The sequence below is a fragment of the Homo sapiens genome, chromosome 9, assembly GCF_000001405.40.
Source record: "Homo sapiens chromosome 9, GRCh38.p14 Primary Assembly".
NCBI classification, from domain to species: Eukaryota; Metazoa; Chordata; class Mammalia; order Primates; family Hominidae; genus Homo; species Homo sapiens.
In genome coordinates, this window is record NC_000009.12 from 64456264 (window position 1) to 64479726 (window position 23463).

Sequence of the window (23463 nt, forward strand, 5' to 3'; positions counted from 1 at the left end):
GACAAGATAATAGGGAAAAAGGCCTTGAAGGCATTTCAGAGACCTTTGCAGCAGCCCTTGCTATTGTAGGCCCTGGGGCCTAGGAGAGAAGCATGGTTTCCTTGGCCAGTTCCATGAGCCTCCTCTATGTGCAGCCTCAGAACACTGCTGCCTGCATCCCTGCAGCTCAAGCTCCAGCCATGGCTGAAAGATGCACAGGTACAGCTCAGGTCACTGCTTCAGAGGATGCAGGCTAGAAGCCTTGGTAACATCCTCATAGTGTTAAGCCACTGGTGGACGGAGTGTGAGACTAGAGGCTTGGAAACCTCTCTATAGATTTTGGAAGATGTATGGAAATTCCTGGGTGTCCAGGCAAAACATCCCAAAAAGGCAGAGCCTTATATGAAACTTCTACTAGGGCAGTGCAGAAGGAAAATATGGGGTTGGAACTCCCACACTGGAGACCACCATCATGCAGACCCCAGATTCATAGACCCCCCCCCAAAACTTGTTTCCTCAATGTGGAAAAGTCACAGGCACTCATCACCAGCCCAGCCCATGAGGGCACCCTTGGGGCATATACCCTGCAAAGCCACAGGTGCCAAGCTGCCCGAGGCCTTGGGAGCCCAGCCCTCACACCCCTGTGTCCTGGATGTGGGACAGGGTTTCAAAAAGGGTGATTTTGGAGCTGTAGGATTGAATGACTGGCCTTCTGGGTTTGGAGTTTCATGGGGCCAGTAAGTCCTATCTGTGTTTTGTTTTTTTTCTGGCAAAATTCTTCCTTTTGGCTGGGAATGCTTACCCAATGCCTGTACAAGCATTGTACCTTGGAAGTAGTTAACTTGCTTTATATTTCAGAGGCTCATGGGCCTAAGGGACTGTAGCCTTGTGTCAGATGAGACTTTAGGCTTTGGACATTTGTATAAATGCTGGAATGATATAAGATTTTATGAGACTTTAGGGAAGGCATCATTGTATTTTGCAATGTGAGAAGGACATGAGATTTGGGGAGTGAGGGAAAGAATAATAAAATTCAGCGCTGTGTCCCTACCAAAACTCATGTGGGATTGTAATTGGAATGTTAAAGGTGGGGCCTGGTGGAAGATGATTTAATCACGGTGCAGAGTGGGGGTTGGAAGATGGGGGTGTAGGGAAAATGGGGGAATTATGGTGGGGGTGAGGGGTGAAAATTGGGGTGGGGGGTCAGATCCTTCACAAATCATTAAACACTATCTCCTTATTGCTGTCCTTGTGACGGTGAGTTCTTTTCATGATTTTAGAACTGTAAAATTAAATGGATACTGGCCTCCTGGGTTTTGGACTTGCATTGGGCCTGTGGTCCCATTTGTGTTATTTTCCTGGGAAATTTCTGCCCTTTGGATTGAAAAAGCTTACCCAATGCCTGTACCATTATTGTACCTTGAAAGAAAGAACATCCTTTTAAATTCAGGGACTCATAGGCAAAAGGTACTGTAGACTTGTCTCAGATGAGATGTTGAATTTTTTACATTTGAGTTATTGTTGGAATGAGTTAAGACTTTTGGAAAATTTTGAAAAGGCATGAATATATTTTGCTCTGTGAGAAGGACAAGAGACTGCAGGGTATCAGGTCAGAATAATATGATTTGGCTGTGTTTCTTTACCAAAACTGATGTGAATTGTAATCCTTAATGTTGGAGGTGGGACCTGGCTGGAGGTGATTTAATCATGGATGGGAGGGGGACCGGGGTTGGAAGGAAAGGGGTGGGTAGGGTGAGGAGTAGGTTGTTAGTAAGGTGGTGGGTACTAGGAGGGGGGAGTAACCTGCTTCAGAAGCAGAGGCTCATGGAAAGTCTCTACTAGGGCAGGGCACCTGTGGCTTTGCAGGGTGTAGCCCCCATGGCTGCTGTCATGGGCTGGGCTCGTGTGGAGTGCCTGTAGCTTTTCTGCTCTGAGAGTGCAAGCTGTTGGTGGGTCTATGAATCTGCAGTCTGGAGGATGGTGGCCTCCTGTATGTGGGCTCCAAGCCTACATTTTCCTTCTGCACTGCCCTGGTAGAGGTTCTCCAAGAGGCTCTGCCTCTGCAGGAGGCTTCTACGTGGAAACAGTGGGGGGTGGTGTGGGTGGATCCTTCACCAATGGTTAATCTTCTTGATGCTGATCTCCTGATACTGAGTTCTCATGAGATCTGGTTGTATAACAAGTGTGGCACCTCTTTCCTCTCTCTGTCTTCCTCCTACACCTGCCATATGGAACATCTCATTGTCGCTTGGCCTTCTGGTATGGTAGGAGACTTCCTGAGTCCTCCCAGAAGCAGAAGCCACTATGTTCCCTTTACAGCCTGCAGAACCGTGAGCCAATTAAACCTCTTTTTAAAATAATACTACAGAAAATTTGTACTGTAGAGTGGAGCTATGAAATGCCCTCAAGGTTTTTTTCCTGATTTTTTACTATTAACATTTGGCTTCTTTTATATGCAAATATCTGAAGCCTTCTTGAATTTTCCCCCTGAAAATGGACTTTTTTTCTTTTACCACACTGCCAGGCTGTCACAACGATAGCTGAAAGTGTAGAAGCAAGTTCAGAAGCAGGTTCAGAAGCTGGGTAACGACCACAGGCTGCACAGTTTGGAGGGCTTGGAAGAAGACAGAAAGATGAATGAAAGTTTTGACTATTGTAGAGACGTGTTAAATAGTTATAATTAAAAGGGTGACTGAAGGATGGATAGTGAAGGCCAGGCTTAGAAGGTCTCAGATGAAAATGAACAACTTACTGAGAGCAGAAGCCAAGGTAACTTTTCTTTTGCCTTAGCAAAGAACTTGGCTGGATGGTGCCCCTGCCCTGGTGACCTGTGAAACTTTGAACTTGAGGGTGATGATTTAGGGTATATCTGGTGAAATGAACTTCTAGGCAGCAAAGCTCAAGAGGTATCTTGTCTGTATTGAACAGCCTGTGGTGTTCTGTGTGACCAAATAAATGACCTCAAGTTGAAACTTATATTTAAATGAGAAGCAGAGCTTTGAAGTTTGATTTGCAGCCTGCCCAAGAGGTCAAAAAGAAAAGCTGATTTTTAGTGGGAAAATTCAAGAAGGCTTCAGAAATGTGCATAAAATGGAGCCCAGTGCTAATAGCTAAGACAATGTTAAAAAGGCCTTGAAGGCATTTCAGAGACCTTTGCAGCAGAGCTTGCTGTCAAAGGCCCTGAGTTCTAGGACCAAAGAATGGTTTCCTGGGTCAGTCCCATGATCGCGCTGCTGTGTCCATCCTCAGGACAGTGCCGCCTGCATCCCTGCAGCTCCAGCTCCAGCTCCAGCCATGGCTGAAAGATGCACAGGTACAGCTTGGGTCACTGCTTCAGAGGGTGCAAGCTGCAAGCCTTGGTGGCTTCCACATAGTGTTAAGCCAGCAGGTGCACAGGCTTGGGAGCCTTTGTCTAGACTCAAGAGTATGTAAGGAAAAACCTCAGTGTCCAGCTGGGCAGAAGCTTTTCCAAGAGGCAGAGCCTCATGGGAAACCTTTACTAGGGCAGTGCAGAAGGAACATACAGGGTTGATGCCCCCATACAGGGAGGAACCATTTTCCAGACCCCAGATTCATAGACCCACCAACTGCTTGCACCCTCAGTGTGGGAAAGCCACAGGCACTGACCACCAGCCCAGCCCACGAGGGCAGCTGTGGGGAAAGACCCTGCACAGCCACAGAAGCTGAGCTGCCCAAGGCCTTGGGAGCCCCGCCATCCACTCTTGTGCTCTAGATGTGGGATGTAGATCCTTTCAGGAAAGATGATTTGGAGCTGTAGGATGGAATGACTTTCCTGCTGGGTTTTTGACTTGCATGGGGTCTGCAAGTCCCATCTGTGTTTTGTGCTTCCCTCTGACAAATTTCTTCCTTTTGGCTGGGAATGCTTACCCAATGTCTCTACAATCATTGTACCTTGGAAGTAGTTAACTTGCTTTGTATTTCAGAGGCTCGAGCAGAAGGGATGGCAGCGTTGTCTCAGATGAGACTGGGCTTTGGACATTTCAGTAAATGCTGGAATGAGTTAAGACTTTGGGGGACTGTAGAGAAGGCATCATTGTATTTTGCAGTGTGACAACGATATGAGATGTGGGGGGACCTGGGTGAGAATAATATGATTTGGCCCTGTGTCACTACCAATACTCTCGTGAAATTGTAATGGGGAATGTTAAAGGTGGGGCCTGGTGGGAGATGATTTAATCATGGAGAAGAGTGGGGGTTGGAGGTGGGGGAGTGGGGAGAATAGGAGAGATTATTTTGTGGGTGGGGGTGAAAAATGAGGGGGGACGGATTCTTCACAACTGGTGAAACACTATCTCCTTAATACTGTCTGCGTGATAGTGAGTTCTCTTGATGATTATGGAGCTTAAAGATTGAGTGAATATTGTCCTGCTGGGGTTTGGACTGACATTTTTGTCATTTTTCTGGGGAATTTCTTCCCTTTGGATTGAGAAACCTTACTTAATGCTTGTACTATCATTGTATCTTGAAAGAAAAGAAATGCCTTTTGAACTCAGGGACTGATAGGCCGAAGGGACTGTAGCCTTGTCTCAGATGAGACTTTGAATTTTTTATATTTGGAATGAGTTAAGAATTTTGGAAACTTTTGAACATGCATGACTGTGTTTTGCTGTGTGAGAAGGACATGAGGTTCTGGGGTATCTGGGTCAAATAATATGGATTGACTGTGTGTCCATATAAAACTCATATGGAATTGTAATCCTTAATTTTGGGGCCTGGTGGTAGGCGATTTAATCTTGAATGGGAGGGGGTTCGGGGTGGTAGGAAAAGGAGGGGTAGGGTGGGGAGGAGTAGGTTGTCAGTAGGGTGGTAGGAGGATAGGGGGTAGTAGGAAGGGGGAGTAGCCTTCTGCAGAGGCAGAGGCTCATGGAAAACCTCTACTAGGGCAGTGCACCTGTGGCTTTGCAGGCTTTAGCCCCATGGCTGCTCTCATGGGCTGGGCTGGTGTTGAGTGCCTGTAGCTTTTCCATACTGAGGGTGTGAGCTGTTGGTGGGCCTATGAATCCGGGATCTGGAGGATGGTGGCCTCCTTTTTGGGGGCTCCAAGCCCATATTTTCCTTCTGCACTGCCATAGTGGAAGTTTCTCAAGAGGCTTGGCCTCTGCAGGAGGCTTCTGCCTGGAAACAGTGGGTGGTGGTGTGGGTGCAGGATCTTCTTGATGCTGATCTCCTGATAGTGAGACCTCATGTGATCTGGTTGTCTAACAGGGTGTGGTACCTCTTTCCTCTCTCTGTCTTGCTCCTACCCCTGCCATATGAAACATCTCATTGCCACTTGGCCTTCTGGTATGATTAGGAAGGGCCTGGTCAGTGTGGGCCTGGTCAGTGAACTAGTCAGTTGGGACTTGGTCAGTGAGGCCTATTTACTGGGGGAATGGTCAGCCAGGGTCTGCTTAGAGAGGGTCTCATTAGAGGGATCGAGTAGTGCAGGTCTTGGTGAGTGGGGACCTAGTGGCAGACAAATGTTTGGTGTCTGGTCAGTGCAAACCTGGGCTGCAGGGCTTGGTGAGTGGAGACCTGGTCAGCTGTGGCTTAGTGGTAGCCTTGTCAGAATGGGCTGGGTCACTGGTGACCCGGTCAAGGGGTGCTATTCAGTGGAGGCCTGGTCACATGGCACCTAGTCAGCAGGGCATGTCCTCATCAGTGAGGCCGTTGTCAGTGGGACCCTGGTCATGGCAGCCTGGTCAGGTCAGTGGAACCTAATCAGTGGGGGCCTGGTCAGAGAGGACTTGATCAGTGGTGGCTTTTGTAGCACTGGTCTATGGGGTGACCTGGTCAACGGGGGTCTGAGCGGTACATGCCTGTTCAGTGGTGCCTAGTCACTAGGTTCCTGGTCGGGGCATCTGGTCACCGCAGGCCTGGTTAGTAGGGACCTGGTCACTGGCAGCCTGTTCCCTGGAGACCTGGTCAGTGGGGCTTCATCTGTGGGGCCAGGCAATGGGGTCATGATTGGTGGAATGTGGTCAGGGAGGTCTTGTCAGTGAGGCCCTGGTCAGTGAGGCCTTGTCAGTGAAATCCTTGTCAGTGGGGTCCTGGACACTGTGGGCCTGGCAGCGGGAATCTAGTTAGTGGGGCCTGGTGATGGGGGCCTAATCAGTGAGAGTGTGGTCAGGGAGGACCTGATGTGCGGGATCTGGTCAGCAGGGACCTGGTCAGTGGGGCTGCTGAGCACTGCTGGGAGGTGTCAGGGGAAATGCATGTTATCAGGGGCCCTATGGACAGCTGGGATGGCCCAGTGGTGTCCAGTGGCCCAGTCAAAAGTGGACAAAGCAGGTGTTTGGATGGACCTGGGAGATCTTGCTCAGAGATTCTGAAAGAACAAAGGTAAAGGAAGGGCCAGAGTGGGTAGAGAGATGGTCACAGTCTATGGGCTGCACAGGATGGAGGAAGCCAGGGAACAGGCAGGGTGGGCAGTAGGGGTGCAGGGAGAGGCAGGTGCATGCTGGGAGGTCGGACCCTGTGAGGGCTGTGGGGGCGTCAGGTGGGGTGGGCTCCAGGTGCACTCTCAGTGTGCACTGGGCAGGTCTCGGTCCAGGCTCTCTGGACCCTGGTCGGGTGATGTGGTCACTCCCTGGGGGACTGCTGTCAGGCCTAGCCACCCACCCTTGGCAGCACTGTCCCATCTCAGGACTGGACTTTCTCAGATCCTGCAGAGGGCACAGCCTCCAGCCCAGGAGGGGCAGCCCCTTGGTGCAGCCCAAGCTCTCCATGGGCCTGGAGCATCCCTGCCAGCCCTGCGCTCCCTCTACTCCCAGGTCCCGCTTTTCAAGTGTCAGCCAGCAGAGAGGCTCCGTCCTCCCTTCCCTTTGTGTCTCCTGGGCTAAAACTTGGGGCGCATTGGGACAGGGATGGTGCTTTCCTCAGGCCCATTTAGGGAGGGGACTGGCTCCCAGCCTGGCACAGGTCCTCAGCTCTGCCTTGGTTGCCTTAGAGTGACATGGATCAGTCAGTGCCCTGAAGGTAAATGGAAGAGACTGTCCCTGCTGTGTGGGAGGCTGGTCTAGGGATGGAGGACTTGGCAGGTCCTCCCAGTCTGTCAGGCCTGGACAGCACTGTCCTGTCTCAGGACTCAGAAAATCCGGTCTTGGGATGGAATGGTGCTGCCCAGGGTGGGTGGCCAGGGCTTGACAGCAGTCCCCCAGGGAGTGACCACATCAGCCAACCAGGGTCCAGGGAGCCTGGCCTGAGACCCACCCAGTGCATTGAGGGTGCACCTGGAGCCCACCCCACCTGATGCCCCCACAGCCCTCGCAGGGTCTGACCTCCCAGCATGCACCTGCCTCTCCCTGCACCCCAGATGTCCACCCTGCTTTTTCCCTGATTTCCTCCATCCTGTCCAGCAGGATGGGCTGGTCAGTGGGATAGCCTCTGTGCACATTTTGTGGCAAGTAGGAGTGACACATCATTCCTGGGAGGCCCCGTGGTTCCTGCCAAACCCAACCCCAGAATTCTCCCTGAGGTGGTTTTACCAAACCCATAACCCAGAACTGCTATTGTGGTTTGGAGGTCAGCACCCACCAGTGCCAGGGCACTACTGGGAGGCTGGGACCTGACCAAAGCCCATGGTGTCTGTGGCCTGAGGACAGGGTGTCTTGGGGCCATGAGGACAGGCCACCAATGGCCGTTGGGTCATAGGGCCTGAGCCCCAGTGTTTGTCCTTCCCTGGCTCCTTCTGGTTCAGTCCCATCAGGGCTCTGGATCCCAAGACGCAGCATCCAAGGTTCCCTCCAGGAATCCTGGTGGCTCGGCTTACTTTGTCATGTTTCATCTGATAGCAAAAATATCAGATCGGCTGCACAGAAAAATGGCTCAAAGTGCTTAATGACCAGAAGAAATCTGGGAGCAGCAAGAAGGTAATGTGGAGAGGGGAGGACCTCCATGACCGGTGTCTGCAGAGCCAGGGGTACAGGCACCCAGTGCAGTGAGCTGGCACCACCTGCCTCTCAGAGGGTGGGTAGCACACTGTCCTTACCTGGGGGACAGCAGGCCTGGTCACCGGCTTTTCTCCCTGTCCCTGCAAGCATCACATTGCTGGAAGAGAATCTCATGCCAGAGCTTGGACCATCCCTAGCTTGGGGGTTAGGGGTTGTCTCTTGGTGACCTAAATGAAAAAATAGGTCCAGATCAGAGTTCGTGATGCATAGCACTCACCCACTCTTTGAAGCATGGGAGGGGAGGCCTAGTCCTAGGTAAACCTAAACTCTTTGAGGAACCACAGAGCCCAAGGCTGGAAACCTCCAGAATCCTCCAGCCCCTGATCCCACCCCCCCCCGGGGACCTCTGTGGCCTGTCTCACCAGAGCACTCTTCTGTCTGTAGAGGTCTCAGGTGCTCTACAAGGGAGTCCCATTTCAGGTGTGGGGCTGGGTATGGTCACTCCTGCTGGATGTCTAGAAGGTGAAAACCAAGGACCTAGGAAAATACCAGATACAGCCTTTCCACCGTCATCCAGAGCAGGACAAACACGCCAGGTGGTGTCAGGAGCCCAGGTCTCCAGCTGGAGGGAATGTCAACCCTGCAGTGGGAGCCCATCATGCATCCTAGGCACAGATGCTAACGTAGGCACCGCAGGTAAGCTGGGTTTGGTACCCCTTCCTGGCTTCAGAAAGAAGCCAAACAAGGAGCTTTCTGCAGAATGAAACCTCTTTTCCATCCAGAAGCACTGCTGACTGTTTGGTGGTTGCTGTTAGGGCAGTGAGCCTTTTGTCCATTCTGAGATTGGGCTGGTTTCTCCTCTTGGCCCTGGCCTACAGACCATAAAGGAAAACAGCAAGAGGTCCCCAGCAAACATCTACAGATGGCCCTGGACATCAGCCACATTCAGAGAAACGTGTCATGTTCTGGGAGGGCTAAGGCATCGAGTAAGGCCTATGGGGCTGGAGGATCACAGGGCAGGTGGGGCAATCCAGAGCTGTGGGGGCTTCCATGGGAATTGGGAGGTCCCAAGGCAGAGGTAGGGGTTCCACAGGAGGAGTCACAGAGCCACCAAGGGCTCTCCTGGCCCAGGGAGCAGTCAACACCATGGACTGAACACCCACTGGGCTAAGCCCTGGGCCAGGCTGGGGCATGTGGGGCCAGGAGGCAGCTCAGAGTGGGAGACAGAGAGACAAGTGTGCTCAGAGGGCACCCATATCTGCATATAACGTGGTCCTGAATTTCTGGCTGGGAAGTGCTTCCAGGGTTTCATATGTGTTATGGAGATGCTTCCTCTCTCCAACCTCACCGTGCAGGAATCCCAGTGAATATATTGCCACCATCTTGGAGCTCAGTGCCCTCATAGTGTAACAGCACCAGCAGATCTGCCTGTGCACAGACTTCCTGTACTACCTCACTCCTGAGGGGAGATGCTTCTGCAGGGCCTGCGACCTGGTGCACAACTTTAGACACCATCATCCTGGAGCGGCACTGCACCCTCACTAGCCAGGGTGTTGATGACTTCCTCAATGCCAAGGCCACGTTCAAGATTTTCGACTTCAGTGATGCGTTTGTGCTGAGCAAGGTGGGCTTCTCCGGGATCTTAATTCAGGAGGTAGAATGCAGCTTGAGATCTAGTGTCTGATCAAAGAACTTAAACTTGACCTGGAGGGCTCTGGGGAGCCATGGAAGGTGCTGGATAAAGGAGGGACAGTCATATATGTTTTAGAGATGACTGTGGAAGGCTGCCTGGAAGGAGTGAACAAGAGCCAGGAGACCAGGGAGGGAGTTTGTGGGGCAGGTCTGGAGATGGCAAGGGAGGGATCCTGCTTGGATGAAAGGTCTTCAGGGACTGTCTCAGGTTACACTCAGGTGCCCTCAGAGCTACTGTGTTCAGGGTTCTTGTCTCCAGGATGAAAATAAGGAGGAGTTGTCAGACAAGGACATATACATGGAGGCTGGCATCTTCATGAGTGCCAATCGTGGTCCTGGTGTGGACTACTGTGGGAGCAGGGGTCTCTCCATCCAGGGACATGGTGGGTGGACCCTACATCACTCCATTCTGCCCTTCCTTTCCGTCCCATTCTCCTGAGGGACTCAATGCATGGGCACTGTCCAACCTCTGGTGCTGAAGCAGCCAAGAGACCCAAGCCTGCCTTGCTGCCACTTAGGATATGACAGCACAGCCAGTGGCCTCTACTGGATCCTGGTACCCCTCAGAAGACACCCAGACACTGGGAGTGCTGCCACCTCGTGGTGCAAGAGTTCTGAGGGACGGCAATTCTGAAGACATTGAATGGTGGGTGCTGGGCCTCATGGCTGTTCTCCAGCCCCTCTCATTAGCTCTGCTCCAGGTGGAGAAGGGGGATGATGTCTCTGTCAGTTCTGCTGTTTTAGCCTAGCAGGAAAAGAAGCAGAGCCCAGAAGCAGGGCCTGGTACCCAGCCTGCCTAACAAGGGAGAATTTGTAGGCTTTGTGGACAGAAAGATCTGGGACTCCATGTCACCCACCAACTTGCTGAGACATTAGTAAAATCAGTTTTCTTTTCTGAACTATGTTTCTGTCATCTGTACATTGAGAGGAATTTCTTTTACTCCACGAGGCTGCTTGGAGAATTAGTGACAGTGTGTGTAGAGCATGTGCCACCCAGCAGGCATTTGGTGTCGAGACCACACCTCCTCCCCCTTCATTTTCAGCCTAAATTTGCATTTTGTTCTTAAGACTTTCACTCGCCTTAATTTTACTCTTTCCTCTGATTCCCACCTTATCGTCTATCCCATGGAGTCACTAGGATCTAAGTGGGTAACAGTCATGTATGCATGTATGTGTATGTACGTATATACTTTGTTGGTGTTGGAGTGTGGTGTGTGAATGTGTGTGTGTGTGTGTGTGTGTGTGTGTGTTGGAGTTACTGGGTGACTGAAACTGTACACATCAGGCTGTGGTTCTGCTCATTGCTGGAAGCGCTGTCAGGGGTCCTGCCCTCAACCCCAGGTCTGACCCTTGCAGCGCAGGCAGGACATTCTGGAGGAATCATGCCCTTGGGAGGATCCCTGAGGAGTGACTGGTGGGTATTGGTGGATAAATACCCCTGGTCCCTTGCTCTGGGTATGATGACTCTGAAGCACATGTTCTGTGCTGTCTCTCAGAGGTACCTGGCAGGGCTGAGTCCTGGCTGCCACAGTGGAAACTTTCTTGATGAAGGTCCCTTTAACTGCTGCATTCCTTTCCTGTCTCAGTTCCCCACTCCTCCACTGATGTTTCCTGGGATTAACACCCTAAGGAAGAACTGGCAGTCGAATTAATATCCTAGCGTTATCTCCAAACAAAATTTTTGTATTTGAATCTTTGCCTCGGGATCTACTTCCAGGAAATTCAGACTAAGACACACATTTTTCTTTTGGCTCCTTGAATCCCCATAGGCCTGACATTTTGCTGTTTTTATCAAAAAGGAACATGAGGATCAGAGAGGGAAAGTCACTTGCCCAAAGTCACCCAGCTGAACAGTGGTAGAGTTCAACTTTGATCATGAGATGTCTGGCCCCAAGGTGGAGGCTTGCTCCTCTCCCATGGGACTCCTTCCTTATCAGGGTCAAATGAATGAATGGAGGATGTTAAAAGTGGGGTCTCTGATGCCTTTGCCAGATAAACCCCAGGCTCATGGCTGGCGCCTGTTTTCTCATTCTTACCTCATTAAGAGTAGTAATGAAAAACATGCTCAGTGCTGACCGTGTGCCTGGGGGTGTTGTAGGCACTCCACTTACTTTAATTCATTTAATTTTCACAATAACCTTGTTTTTACTTCTGGTTGTTATATGAAAGAACTGAGGCAAAGAGCAATACAGAGAGTTGCAAAAATTCATACCGCTGGTCCAGGTTTGAACCAAACAGTCTGCACCTGGAGTCCTTGTTTGTAACCATGGCACCCTGTCTTCACACATATCTCATCGTGGAGTTCCATCTTGTGTTAGGCATGGCACTGAGCAGCTTCTTTTAAGAACATAATTTGTAGCCAGGCGCAGTGGCTTATGCCTGTAATCCCAGCACTTTGGGAGGCCGAGGCGGGCAGATCACGAGGTCAGGAGATCCAGACCATCCTGGCTAACTTGGTGAAACCCCGTCTCTAATAAAAACACAAAAAATTAGCTGGGCATGATGGTTGGCGCCTATAGTCCCAGCTACTTGGGAGGCTGAGGCAGGAGACTGGCATGAACCCGGGAGGTGGAACTTGCAGTGAGCCGAGATGGCGCGACTGCACTCCAGCCTGGGCGAGAGAGCAAGACTCCATCTAAAAAAAAAGAAAAAAACATGATTTGTAATTATGTAAATTACTAATTCTACTTCAAAGTGCCACACAGCCTTCATGTGATAAAATGAAGCAATTGGTAAGTCTAAGCATTGAGAACAAACATTATTTTTCCCAGCTCCATTGCAACAGTTGGGACAGTGTTTTCTCTGTGCCTATAGAAACCTCAGCTAGTGTGCCGAGGAATCTGGTCCCTTTGGGGAATGTGGCAGTCAGGTTCTGGCAGGGACCTCGAAGTGGCTGGTAATGTCTTTCATTACCACCACCACGTGACCTGGTCTTACGACCTGTTAGCTTCCTTCATCAGGCATGAGCACCAGGATGGCAGGGGCCTCATCTGTCCTGTTCCTCCTGTGGCCTGGGTCCTAGCACCATGTCTGGTACAGTGTAGGTGCTCAAGGGAAGTTTACTTTATAGAACTGTCTACCTGGGAGATGTTGCTGTTAGTCTAACCTGTACCATTTTGTAAACCTGCAGCCGTTTTGCACACCCTGGTCAGAATGAAACATTCCTTGGGAACTCGGGCCGTGAGAAGCATCCTTCCTGATCACCTGACTGTAGAAACATCCTTATCGCACCCTCCCGGGCAAAGGCCCAACAGCCTGACTGCAGGAACATCCTTGCCATATCCTGCCGGGCAGCAAGCTCTACCGCCCACACCCCTCCTTCCCAGTCCCATGATCACCCCAGCCTGTGAGAGGCAGTTGGTGCTGGCAGTAAGCTGGTTTCCTCCTCTGCAGGGTTTTGCTAGTAATAAAGGTGTTGCTGTTGAAGCCGTCAACTGTCTTTCTGTGTCTTTCTTTAACCCTTGCCTTGCCTTCAAAATCTAACAATAGCTCTACCTCTCCATTTTACCAAGGAGGATATGAGACTCAAGGAGAGCAAGAGACTTACCCAGAATTACAGAGCCAGTGAGTCACAGAACCTGAACTTGAGCTCAGTTCAGCTGAATCCAGAACTCATGTCTTCCTGAGAGTCCAGGGAAGGAAAGGTGGAACTGCAGCCAGTGGGTGCCCACAGGCTTGTCCTAGGAGACCACATGCAGCCTCCTGGGAATTGTGTCCTCTTGGGCACAAAAGAAGAACTGTTCACCTGTGCTGCATCAGCTAAGTGTCCCCATTGTCCCAAATTGTTATATTTTTTCAAAGTTTCATTTTAGTAACTAGATTTCTCACAGCTCAGTGTTGAAAACAAAGCACAGAGGCATATAGAAAGCCGTGTTTGGGTTTTTCTCATTTTTTTCCCAGTGACTATACAAATGAATGTACAAAAGAGCACAAATACGCTCATACTTTTTATATAGAGATGAGGCCCCCCCCACTCATATTCCTCTGCCACTACCCTTCCTTTTTTTTTTTTTTTTTTTTTTTCATGGGAGGACCTGTCTTTCAATACTAGTCCATGTGATTTGGGAAGGCTGACCCACCCTGGGCAATCAGATCAGCAGGGTAATTGATTCAGGAGTGGTCATGTGATCCAAGCTGGGCTCATGGAAGTCATCCCTGAACTTTTGATGAAACTGCTGGGAATGAGGTGCTTTCTTTTTATTGGCATATCTATTTGTAAGGAAGTAAGTGATGTGAACTTTATGGAGCCATTTTTGCTGCTCTCTCAAAACAGCTTGCCTGAAAAGCAGAGCTGACATAGGAAATGAAGGGACAGAATGAGCCTTGGTTGATATTAGTTGACCCCTGATCCCACTGAGACAGAAGCCCATCTACTCATGTACATTTTTAGTAAGTAAAGCCAAATAATTCAATGTTCCGCTGGATCCAGTTAGGTTTCAGTCACTTGCAGTCAAGAGAGTCCTGCATAATAGCACTTTCTGTGATGCTTAGGTCCCACCTGCCAGAGCTTTAGAACTGTAGAAGGGTAAAGTGAACCCAGGCAGTGCTGAGCTAGCCAATCTCCTGGCTAAGTGTGCAAAGGAACCCTGGAGTCACTACCACTTTGGTCTGAAAAATAGCCTTGCCTGCTGCTTACCATACAGCCATAGGGGTATTGCTTCCCTGAGCCTGTAGGCATTATACCTCTTTTTAAAAATGATGTTTATTTAAGAAAATGTTTTGTGTAGATGGTGTCTTGCTATGTTGCCCAGGCTTGTCTTGAATTCCTGGCCTAAAGTGCCAAGATTATAGGCATGAGCCACTTTGGCCAGCAGTATACTTCTATTAGTTGTCAATGCTTTTTTGTTCTGTAGTTTCTAGTGTGTGCTTGAGGATGCGTGTGTATGTGTGAGTTTATGTGTGTGTATGTATGTGTGTGTATGTATGCGTGAGAGTGTGTGTGTGAGTTTGTGTGTGTGTGTGTGTGTGAGTTTTTACCTTTATCTTGCAGGGTTATTGCAAGCATCAAGTGGGATCCTGTAGGCGCAGTACTCAGTCCAGTGACTGGCACATACAGTGAGCTCTCTCTGTTCTCTTTTCTCCTCCTGATTCAGAGATTGACTTAAGGATCTGTGATGTGTGCCAATTTTCAATGCCCTGCATAAATAATGGGGAGTACTGTTGCCATAACTTTGCACTAGTTTTAATTCATTTTATCTGTTTAGCATGAGATACCTCAAAGTCCCTGAATAAATTTATGTCATATATATATATATATACACACACACACACACACACACACACACACATAAGTATGTTTCTTGAGAGCTGACAAGCTTAGTTTTTGTTCCCTGATGCTGCAGTAGAGGCCACTGTGTTCTGATTTTTGAGTGATGGCTGCCAGCTCTCCAAGTGTCACAGTCAGTGAGGCATCCATGGGGGCAAGCACCAAGGATGAGTGTGGCCAGTCAGCATCTGCAAGCCCGTTTTGTCTATCCTCTTTATTTTTATAATATGTTTTATTCATTTTTTAGGTTTATCATTTAATCTGTTGTAAACTTCTCTCCTAAAATGTTTCTTAGTTCTACTAGGGGTTAGTTTCATGAAACAAGTCCAGAAATAGTCCACGGCAGCCAGGGATACACAACATGCCATTGGGGAGGGAGAAATCTTGTAGATTGAAGGTTTTGTTGTAGGGACAATCTTTCCAATGGTCTTCAAGTTGCTAAACCCAACTCAGGGCATTTCATCCTATTTCCAGAGAGGAGCAAGCAGAGAAAGCAAAGGGAAATTGGTCAACAAAAAAGAGGAACAATAACTCTCCCCTTTCCAAACAGATTTTCAGAAATCCAAAGCAGTGAATTCTGCATTTCACATTGGCCAGGACTATAAGATTCGCTCACTACAGTTACAAGAAAAACTGGGAAACTCATTTAAAGACGTTAACCAGGGCCAGGCATGGTGGCTCATGCCTGTAATTCCAGCAATTTGGGAGGCCAAGGTGGGAGAATCACTTGAGCACAGGAATTTGAAACCAGTCCAGGCAACATAACGAGACCCAGTCTCTACAAAAACAAAACAAAACAAAAGCTGGGTGTGGCGGTGCACACCTGTTATGCCTGCAGTCCTACCTACTCAGGAGTCTGAGCTGGGAGATCACATGAGCCCAGGAGTTCAAGGCTGCAGTGAGCTCTGATCATGCCACTGCACTCCAGCCTGGGAGACAGAGTGAGACCATTTTTCAAAAAAAAAATTGTAAAATAATAAAATATGCATAAATAAATAAATAAAGACATTTAAACAGTGCTCCTTGGAAAAAGTGAATCTATGTTCCCTTAGTGAAGAAGATGAGAATAATGGATATAGCAGGGAAATGGACAGCATTGGCCACATTAGACCAAAATGAAAGTCATAACAGGTACCCCAAATCAGTACCATTAAAACCACATAATGTGACCATAATGCAGTCAAATTGTGACCAACGAAAAACAAACTGACAAAAAAGGTATCATGGAGCATACGAATTCTAAATCTAAATTGAATGGAGCTCAGAAGGGCTTCTCACTGAAAATGAAACCATGTGTATGTAAATGAATTGTAACAAAGCTACTACATAGCAACATTAATGTGGCAGAGCGGAAAGGTTGCTAAGACAGATATCTGTCATCTTGTACCATTTTTTAAGAAAGGAAAAACTACAAAATTATGAATTTGAGTTCTAATTGAGGGATAAGACAATGATAAAGTCAATAATTGTTAACGTTTACTGTGCTTCAGTCCTACCCTGTGCTCATTCATGCCCAATAAGTGAAGAGCTGGAACTGAAAGCTTTCTTATATTTATTCAATTGTAGTCTCCCTCCAGGGTGTGGAATCATGTATAAAGGAGGGATAGTGTTTAAAGAGGTATTTTCTGCATTTTTTACTTCCATAAGCAGTCTCTGCTGTGTGAGTTCTTGTATGAACTATGAGTCTGAGACAACACTGAGGCTTTTTTTATATTCCTTACTTTCATAGCTTCTCTCCAGTGTGAGAACAAATATCTACTCACGATGAATGAAGATGAAAGGCTTTCCATAGACTTTACCTTCAGAGGGTTTCTTTTCACACTTCTGTAAGATAGGAGAGTTCAGGAAAGATGTTCTCATGCATGTTAACTCATTGAGCTCCCTTCCAGTATGTCCTCCTCACATGTTCAGTACGGTGAAAAATTAATGATGATTTCCCTGCCACTCACAGGGCTTCTCACTATTGTGAATCTTAAGATGGCTTTTAATTCTGGTGACTTTGCAAAGTCTTTTTCACATTTATCACATTTATAGGGTTTCTTCCAGTGTGACTCCTTATATGTGCATGTTTTGAGCCTTGCTGAAGGCTTTCCCACATTCCTTACATCCATAGGGCTTCTCCAGAATGTTCTTTCTTAAATGTTTATTAAGGTGTAGGGAATATCTAAAGCCTTTCTCACTTTTGTTACATTCATAAGGTTTCTCTCCAGTGTGAAGTTTCATAATGTCTCATAAGAAATGACTGATAACGTAAAGGCTTTCCTTCATTTGGGACATGTATGGCTTTTCTCTCCAGTAGTACTACTCCTGTGTGGACCAGAATTTGGAGCAGGACAGAGGTTTTTCCACTTTGATGATTCTTATTCTTCATCTCTACAGAACAGAACTGCATCTGGACAGCATGGACTGAGTTATTTCTGAAGATGTTTTCACATTGAGTAAAATTATACATTTTCTCCCTAACATGAGTTATGTGTGCCCTAAGGCACATGTCTTCACTACAGGCTAATTCAAATGGACTCCACTCATGAATGTTTGTCCTTGTATTAATTTTACTATGTATATGATGGACATTGTTCTGACTGCCTGTCCATGTGTTTGATTTTAGCTGTTTTTCTCCCATATGAAACCCAGTGAATGTTGCACTTCAAGACTATCATGTTGATTGTTTTCATATATATTACTTTATTGCAATAGTTTTTGGGAAACAGGTGGTTTTTGGTTACATGGAAAAGTTATTTAGTGGTGATTTCTGAGATTTTGGTGTACGCATTACTCAAGTAGTGTACATTGTACCCAATGTGTAGTCTTTTATCCCTCACCCCCCTAACCTTCCCTCTGAGTCCCCAAAGTCTATTAAATCATTCTTATGCCTTCACTCTCTCATAGCTTAGCTCCCACTTATAAGTGAGAACATACAATATTTGTTTTTTATTCCTGAGTTACTTCACTTACAATAATCATCTCTAACTCCATCCAGGTTGCTGCAAGTGTCATTATTTGATTCATTTTTAGGGCTGAGTAGTATTCCATGGTGTATCTATAACACATTTTCTTTGTCCACTCATTGGCTGATAGACATTTAACCTTGTTACACATTTTTGCAACTGTGAGTTGTGCTGCTATGAATGTGCATACATGTGTCTTTTTCATATGACTTCTTTTCCTCTAGGTGGATACCCAGGAGTGAGCTGATACTAATTTAAATAGAGATAATTATAAAATAAAGTAATGACCAAGTGAAAATTACCATTTCTAGTAGTAAAACAAGTTACCTTTATTGAGTAAAGCTTGAACATATTTCTGCCCACATAAAGGACATATAACTTTTGTATTTTGTATAAATGATATGCTTTATCTCACTAGACTCATCCTATGGTTAATTGGTGGGGGAGGGTTGGAGAAAGTAACATATCTTTAAATTTAGCTTCTTGATTCACATTTTTCTTCAAGTTTCAATAGCTCTCTTTTAGTTAAATGCCTCCAGGAAGATGTTCAGATGCTTTGGGCTTTCTGTGGCCTCAAGGCAAAGGGAAAGTGAATCTGAAGTCTCTTATTGTCTTCATGCTGTTCTCTAGACCTCTGCTTTCTCTGTGGCACAGGGTCTCTCTGGTCTGATCGCTGGGGCCATTGCATTGCTATTCTCTGAGATGAAGCTTGTACTCTCGCATCAGAGTACAGTGGAGTTCTCTTGCTTTATTAGCCTCCTGTTGGCTTGGGTAAGATCTTCAGATCTCTGTGAGTTTCAGCATCCTTCTTCCACAGTATGTCTGGAATGGTCACATGGGACTTTTTGGCAGGATCATTTTGCCCCTTGGTGCAGTGGCCCCATGTTATGTATGTTAGTTTTCAACTCAGTTAAGTTGCTTCTTATTTACCTCTATGACACTTCCACATTGCATAGATTCATAGGTCTAGTAGGAGGTTTTTTATATAAACCAAGCTGCCAGGAACAGAAGAATGCTCGCACAGTAAGTCAGACAAACCAAATTTATTACTCACAGAGGAGCAGGAAGAATCAGCAAAACCGTTAAGTTCTATGGCAAGCCTGACCCTTGAGGTCAGAAAAGTTGCCCAGCGTTGGTGGAGTCTCCTCTGCACATGCCCCACTGTGTACTGTGCTGAGGAACCCCTGAGTGCTCCGCCCTAGGTTTCACACCCCACGTGCACATTGGCTCTCTGAGTTTAAGGGCTGCAGTAATATCCTGTTCTAGGAACAACAAGGACAGAGCCCAGACTGTCCCAGATGGTTTCTACTCATCTCAGGATATTGTCTTCTTGGAACATTCTAAAGTTATTCTGAGAACTAGGAGGTACAGAAAGCTGAGTTGGTCAAGGCCATTCAGGTCTTGTCCTCCTGACCACAGAAACAAAGTAGACTATAAAACAATAAGCATTGGCAGAAGTAATCATATTGCATTATGATAGCCATTCTTCATTATGATAAAAAGAATTTATCCTCCAAAAAGTTATCTGAGTTCTAAATCTGAATGAACCCAGCAAAACATAGATTTGGGACTGTTGTTACAGTTTAATAAAATATATACTAAACCAATAAATTTAATTAAATACATAAACTCTAGAAGTATAAAAATCATAAAGGCTCATTTCAGTAAAGGTTGGCATACAAAGTTATCAGATGTATGACAGAGTAATAGAAAATGTTGACACTGCTTAGGGCAAAGTGAATATGATTGATATTCAGATGAACAAAGAAGATAGTAAACTCAATAGAAAAATGGGCCAAAAAATTCAATACATTGTTAACAATCTGACAAATGCAAATGTACACAAATAAAATGAGATCTGTATTTTCACCACTTGCTTAGAAAATATAAGAATCCTAGATAACATTGAGTGATGAGGATATGAGGAAAACAACCTTTATGGGCAATGGATGGGAAATTAAATGGTTTTAACCATTTCAGAAAATAACATGACAGGACCCATTTGAAAGTATGCATACTCTACAACCTGTCTCGATGATGGGTACATATCCCTGATATAGTTTGGATGTGTGTCCCCTCCAAATCTCATGTTAAAATATGATCCCCAATGTTGGAGGTGGGGCCCAGTGAGAGGTATTGGATCATGGGGTGGATGCCTTATGAATAGCTTAGCACAGGAATGTCCAACTTTTGGCTTCCCTGGACAGCATTGGAAGAAGAATTTTCTTGAGCCACACATAAAATACACTAAAAATAGCTGATGAGCTAAAATAAATAAATACATAAATAAATAAAAATAAACACACACACACACACACACACACACACACACACACATACACAAACTCTCTTTTGTTTTAACAAAGTTGACAAATTTGGGCCACATTCAAAGCTGTTCTGACCTGCATTCAGCCCACAAGCTGTGGGTTGGACAAGCTTGGTTTAGCACAATCCACTTGAGTGAGTTCTTCTCAGTGAGTTCATAGAGATCTGATTGTTAGAAACAGCCTGGGACTGCCCCCTTGTCTCTCTTACTCCCTCTCTGACCATGTGACACACTGGCTCCCCTTCACCTTCTGCCATGATTGTAAGCTTCTTGAGGCCTCACCCAGAGCAGATAGCATTGCTTCCTGTGCAGTCTGCAGAACCCCGAACCAAGATAAACCTCTTTTATTAAAAAATAATAAATAAATTACCCAGCATTGGGTATGTCTTCATAGCAATATAAAGAGACTAACACAGCCCCTGACAAATTGTAACACATGACCAAAAAGTGTTTTCATAAGGATACCATAAGGAAGTGAATATTTCAGTAGCAGGATATCAGTGTGAATTCTACTGCAAGACTGGATAGGGAAAATGTGGTTGATTCATTTTATTGAAAACTATGCAGCAGCTACAGGGGAATAAACAACCAAAAATAACCTACAGCAATGTGGGAATGTATGAAGGATGTTATGCTCTGTGAAAAAATTAGAAATAAAATTAGATTTATAGCACAATACTCTTTAAGCAAAATGTATACACTCACGTATATACACATACACACACTCAGAAAACAACCTTCTTATCTTGTAAGAATTCTTTAAGAGTAAAGAACCTATATCAAACACATTAGCATGCCTGTCTGTGACAAGGGATAAGGAATAAAAAAATGAAACAAGTAAAACCAGAGAAACTTGTAGGAAACAATAATGATAATGTCTCATGAAGTAAAGAATGTGATTAATTTTTTGCAACTGTGGTATAAAAACAGATTGTCAAAATCAAATGTAATGAGCTTTAGCATAGAGCTTATTGTAGGGAAAAAATCAAATTTAAATACTTAGTTTATATAGTTTGATGCAGGAATGGTCTCCTATGTGAAGTAGTAAGATACACTAAACAATCCATGGGTGTATGGGAAGAAAATACTCAAAATGCTACTTATATTTATTTTTTACTCATTTTTCCAACAGTTTAATATCTAAATGCTAGGGAAGGCCAGATGTGATGACTCACACCTGTAATCCCAGTGCTTGGTTGGAGAGGGTGGGGTCAAGGCAGGAAGAACACTTGAGGCCAAGAGTTCTAGACCAGCCTGGGAAACCTAGTCGGTTTTTGTGTCCACACACAAAAAAATTAAAAATTAGCCAAGCATGATGCCATGCACCTGTAGTTCCATGTACTGGAGAGGCTGAAGCAGGAGGATCACCTGAGGGAGGAGTTTGAGGCTGCAGTGAGCAATGATTATTCCACTGCACCATAGCCTGGGTGACAGAATGAGACCCTGTCTCTTAAGTGGAAATAAGTAAGTGTGAGGAGAACACGTGATCTTTCTAGTTTTCAGTCCCTCTTGCAGTTCCCTGTAGATTATTTTGCTTATTCCCAATGTTCCAGCTGTCTGCACATTGTAGGCTTGTTCTTCTACCTACTCAAGGCCCCAGATCCAGCAAATGTCCTCAGAGATGGGCTCTGCTGCTAATCTGTGATCACCAAGGAAGGGCTTGTTTTTCTCTGAAATTTAGTTCATTGACACTTTAGACCCACAATTTTTTGATGGCTTTAAACAAAAAAAAAAATAATTTTTTAAAGTTCATCCGATATTTTCTCATTATGGCAGGAGCAATTGTCTTTGGTAACTTTATTTTAATTGGAAGAAGAATTTCTAACATTGGCATTGTAATGAGGTTTTTGGTCTTTGACCCTAGTGGAGCAATTAAATCCACATCTATTTCTTCTGTTATGCATGTATTGAAGGATCAAATGAGAAAATATATGTAGAGTGCACAAAGTGTCTAATGTACACTAGTGATATACAGTTGTATTATGACTACACACCGAAAACACATAATCAACCAGATTGCTTCCTGAGAACTAGAGCCAGGCTTTTCCAATGATACTTAACTGTCAAATAATTCTATTCAATTTTTCATGGGATTTAGGGTTTGGTCCATGAAGTGCTGCCACAGTATGCAAATCAATTATATCAATAAATGTGCTAATTTATTCAGCAAACGTATTCTTGTAGCAATAGTTAATGAAAGAAGTAACATTTAATTTCTAGTAGAAGCTACTTCTCTCATTGTGAACTCGTTACAAAGCTTGAATGCTCTAGCTATTTTGAGGAGCATTAATAAGCATTACCTAAAGAAGATGATATATTCCCTAGACAACAAGAACTCTTATTTCTCTTTATCTTCTTTTTGATAAATGCTACAGTCTCTTGGTAGTGAATCCAGATTCTGTGGTGTGGGGAAAAGAAAGAGAGATCAGACTGTTACTGTGTCTATGTAGAAAGAAGTAGACATAAGAGACTCCATTTTGTTCTGTACTAAGAAAAATTCTTCTGCCTTGAGATGCTGTTAATCTGTAACCCTACCCCCAACCCTGTGCTGGCAGAGACATGCACTGTGTTGACTCAAGGTTTAATGGATTTAGGGCTATGCAGGATGTGCTTTGTTAAACAAGTGCTTGAAGGCAGTTTGCTTGTTAAAAGTCATCACCACTCTCTAATCTCAAGTACCCAGGGACACAATACACTACACACTACGGAAGGCTGCAGGGACCTCTGCCTAGGAAAGCCAGGTATTGTCCAAGGTTTCTCCCCAAGTGATAGTCTGAGATATGGCCTTGTGGGAAGGGAAAGACCTGACCATCCCCCAGCCAGACACCCATAAAGGGTCTGTGCTGAGGAGGATTAGTAAAAGAGGAAGGCCTCTTTGCAGTTGAGATAAGAGGAAGGCATCTGTCTCCTGCTGTCCCTGGGCAATGGAATATCTCGGTGTAAAACCCGATTGTATGTTCCATCAACTGAGATAAGGAGAAAACTGCCTTAAGGCTGGAGGTGAGACATGCTGGCTGCAGTACTGCCCTTTAATGCACCGAGATGTTTATGTATGTGCACCTCAAAGCACAGCACCTTTTCTAACCTTGTTTATGGCACACAGACATTTGTTCACATGTTTTCCTGCTGACCCTCTCCCCACTATTACCCTATTGCCCTGCCACATCCCCCTCTCTGAGATGGTAGAGATAATGATCAATAAATACTGAGGGAACTCAGAGACCGGTGCCAGCGTGGATCCTCCATATGCTGAGTGCCGGTACCCTGGGCCCATGTTTCTTTCTCTATACTTTGTCTCTGTGTCTCTTTCTTTTCTCAGTCTCTCATCCCACCCAATAAGAAACACCCACAGGTGTGGAG

General features: G+C 46.0%; 1 long non-coding RNA gene and 3 pseudogenes across 1 annotated transcript in view, besides 1 other annotated feature; 3 read left to right on the top strand and 1 right to left on the bottom strand.

Annotated features, from left to right (window-relative positions):
• ANKRD20A4-ANKRD20A20P (ANKRD20A4-ANKRD20A20P readthrough) overlaps positions 1-12979 on the top strand; it is a 99849-nt gene extending 86870 nt beyond the window's left edge. The window contains exon 25 of the long non-coding RNA NR_146419.1: positions 12694-12979. This is a non-coding gene — a long non-coding RNA (ANKRD20A4-ANKRD20A20P readthrough). The remainder of the gene's footprint in view (positions 1-12693) is intronic.
• CYP4F45P (cytochrome P450 family 4 subfamily F member 45, pseudogene) lies at positions 8366-8688 on the top strand (annotated as a pseudogene).
• Positions 9213-9495, top strand: CYP4F25P (cytochrome P450 family 4 subfamily F member 25, pseudogene; annotated as a pseudogene).
• LOC100419691 (zinc finger protein 114 pseudogene) lies at positions 16774-17483 on the bottom strand (annotated as a pseudogene).
• Positions 22483-23009: an enhancer, noted in NCBI's record as "OCT4-NANOG-H3K27ac-H3K4me1 hESC enhancer chr9:69491164-69491690 (GRCh37/hg19 assembly coordinates)". NCBI's record gives its function as "activates a minimal SCP1, AML or CMV promoter by ChIP-STARR-seq in naive H9 embryonic stem cells {active_cell/tissue: H9 hESC(naive)}" and the evidence as "EXISTENCE:reporter gene assay evidence [ECO:0000049][PMID:30033119]".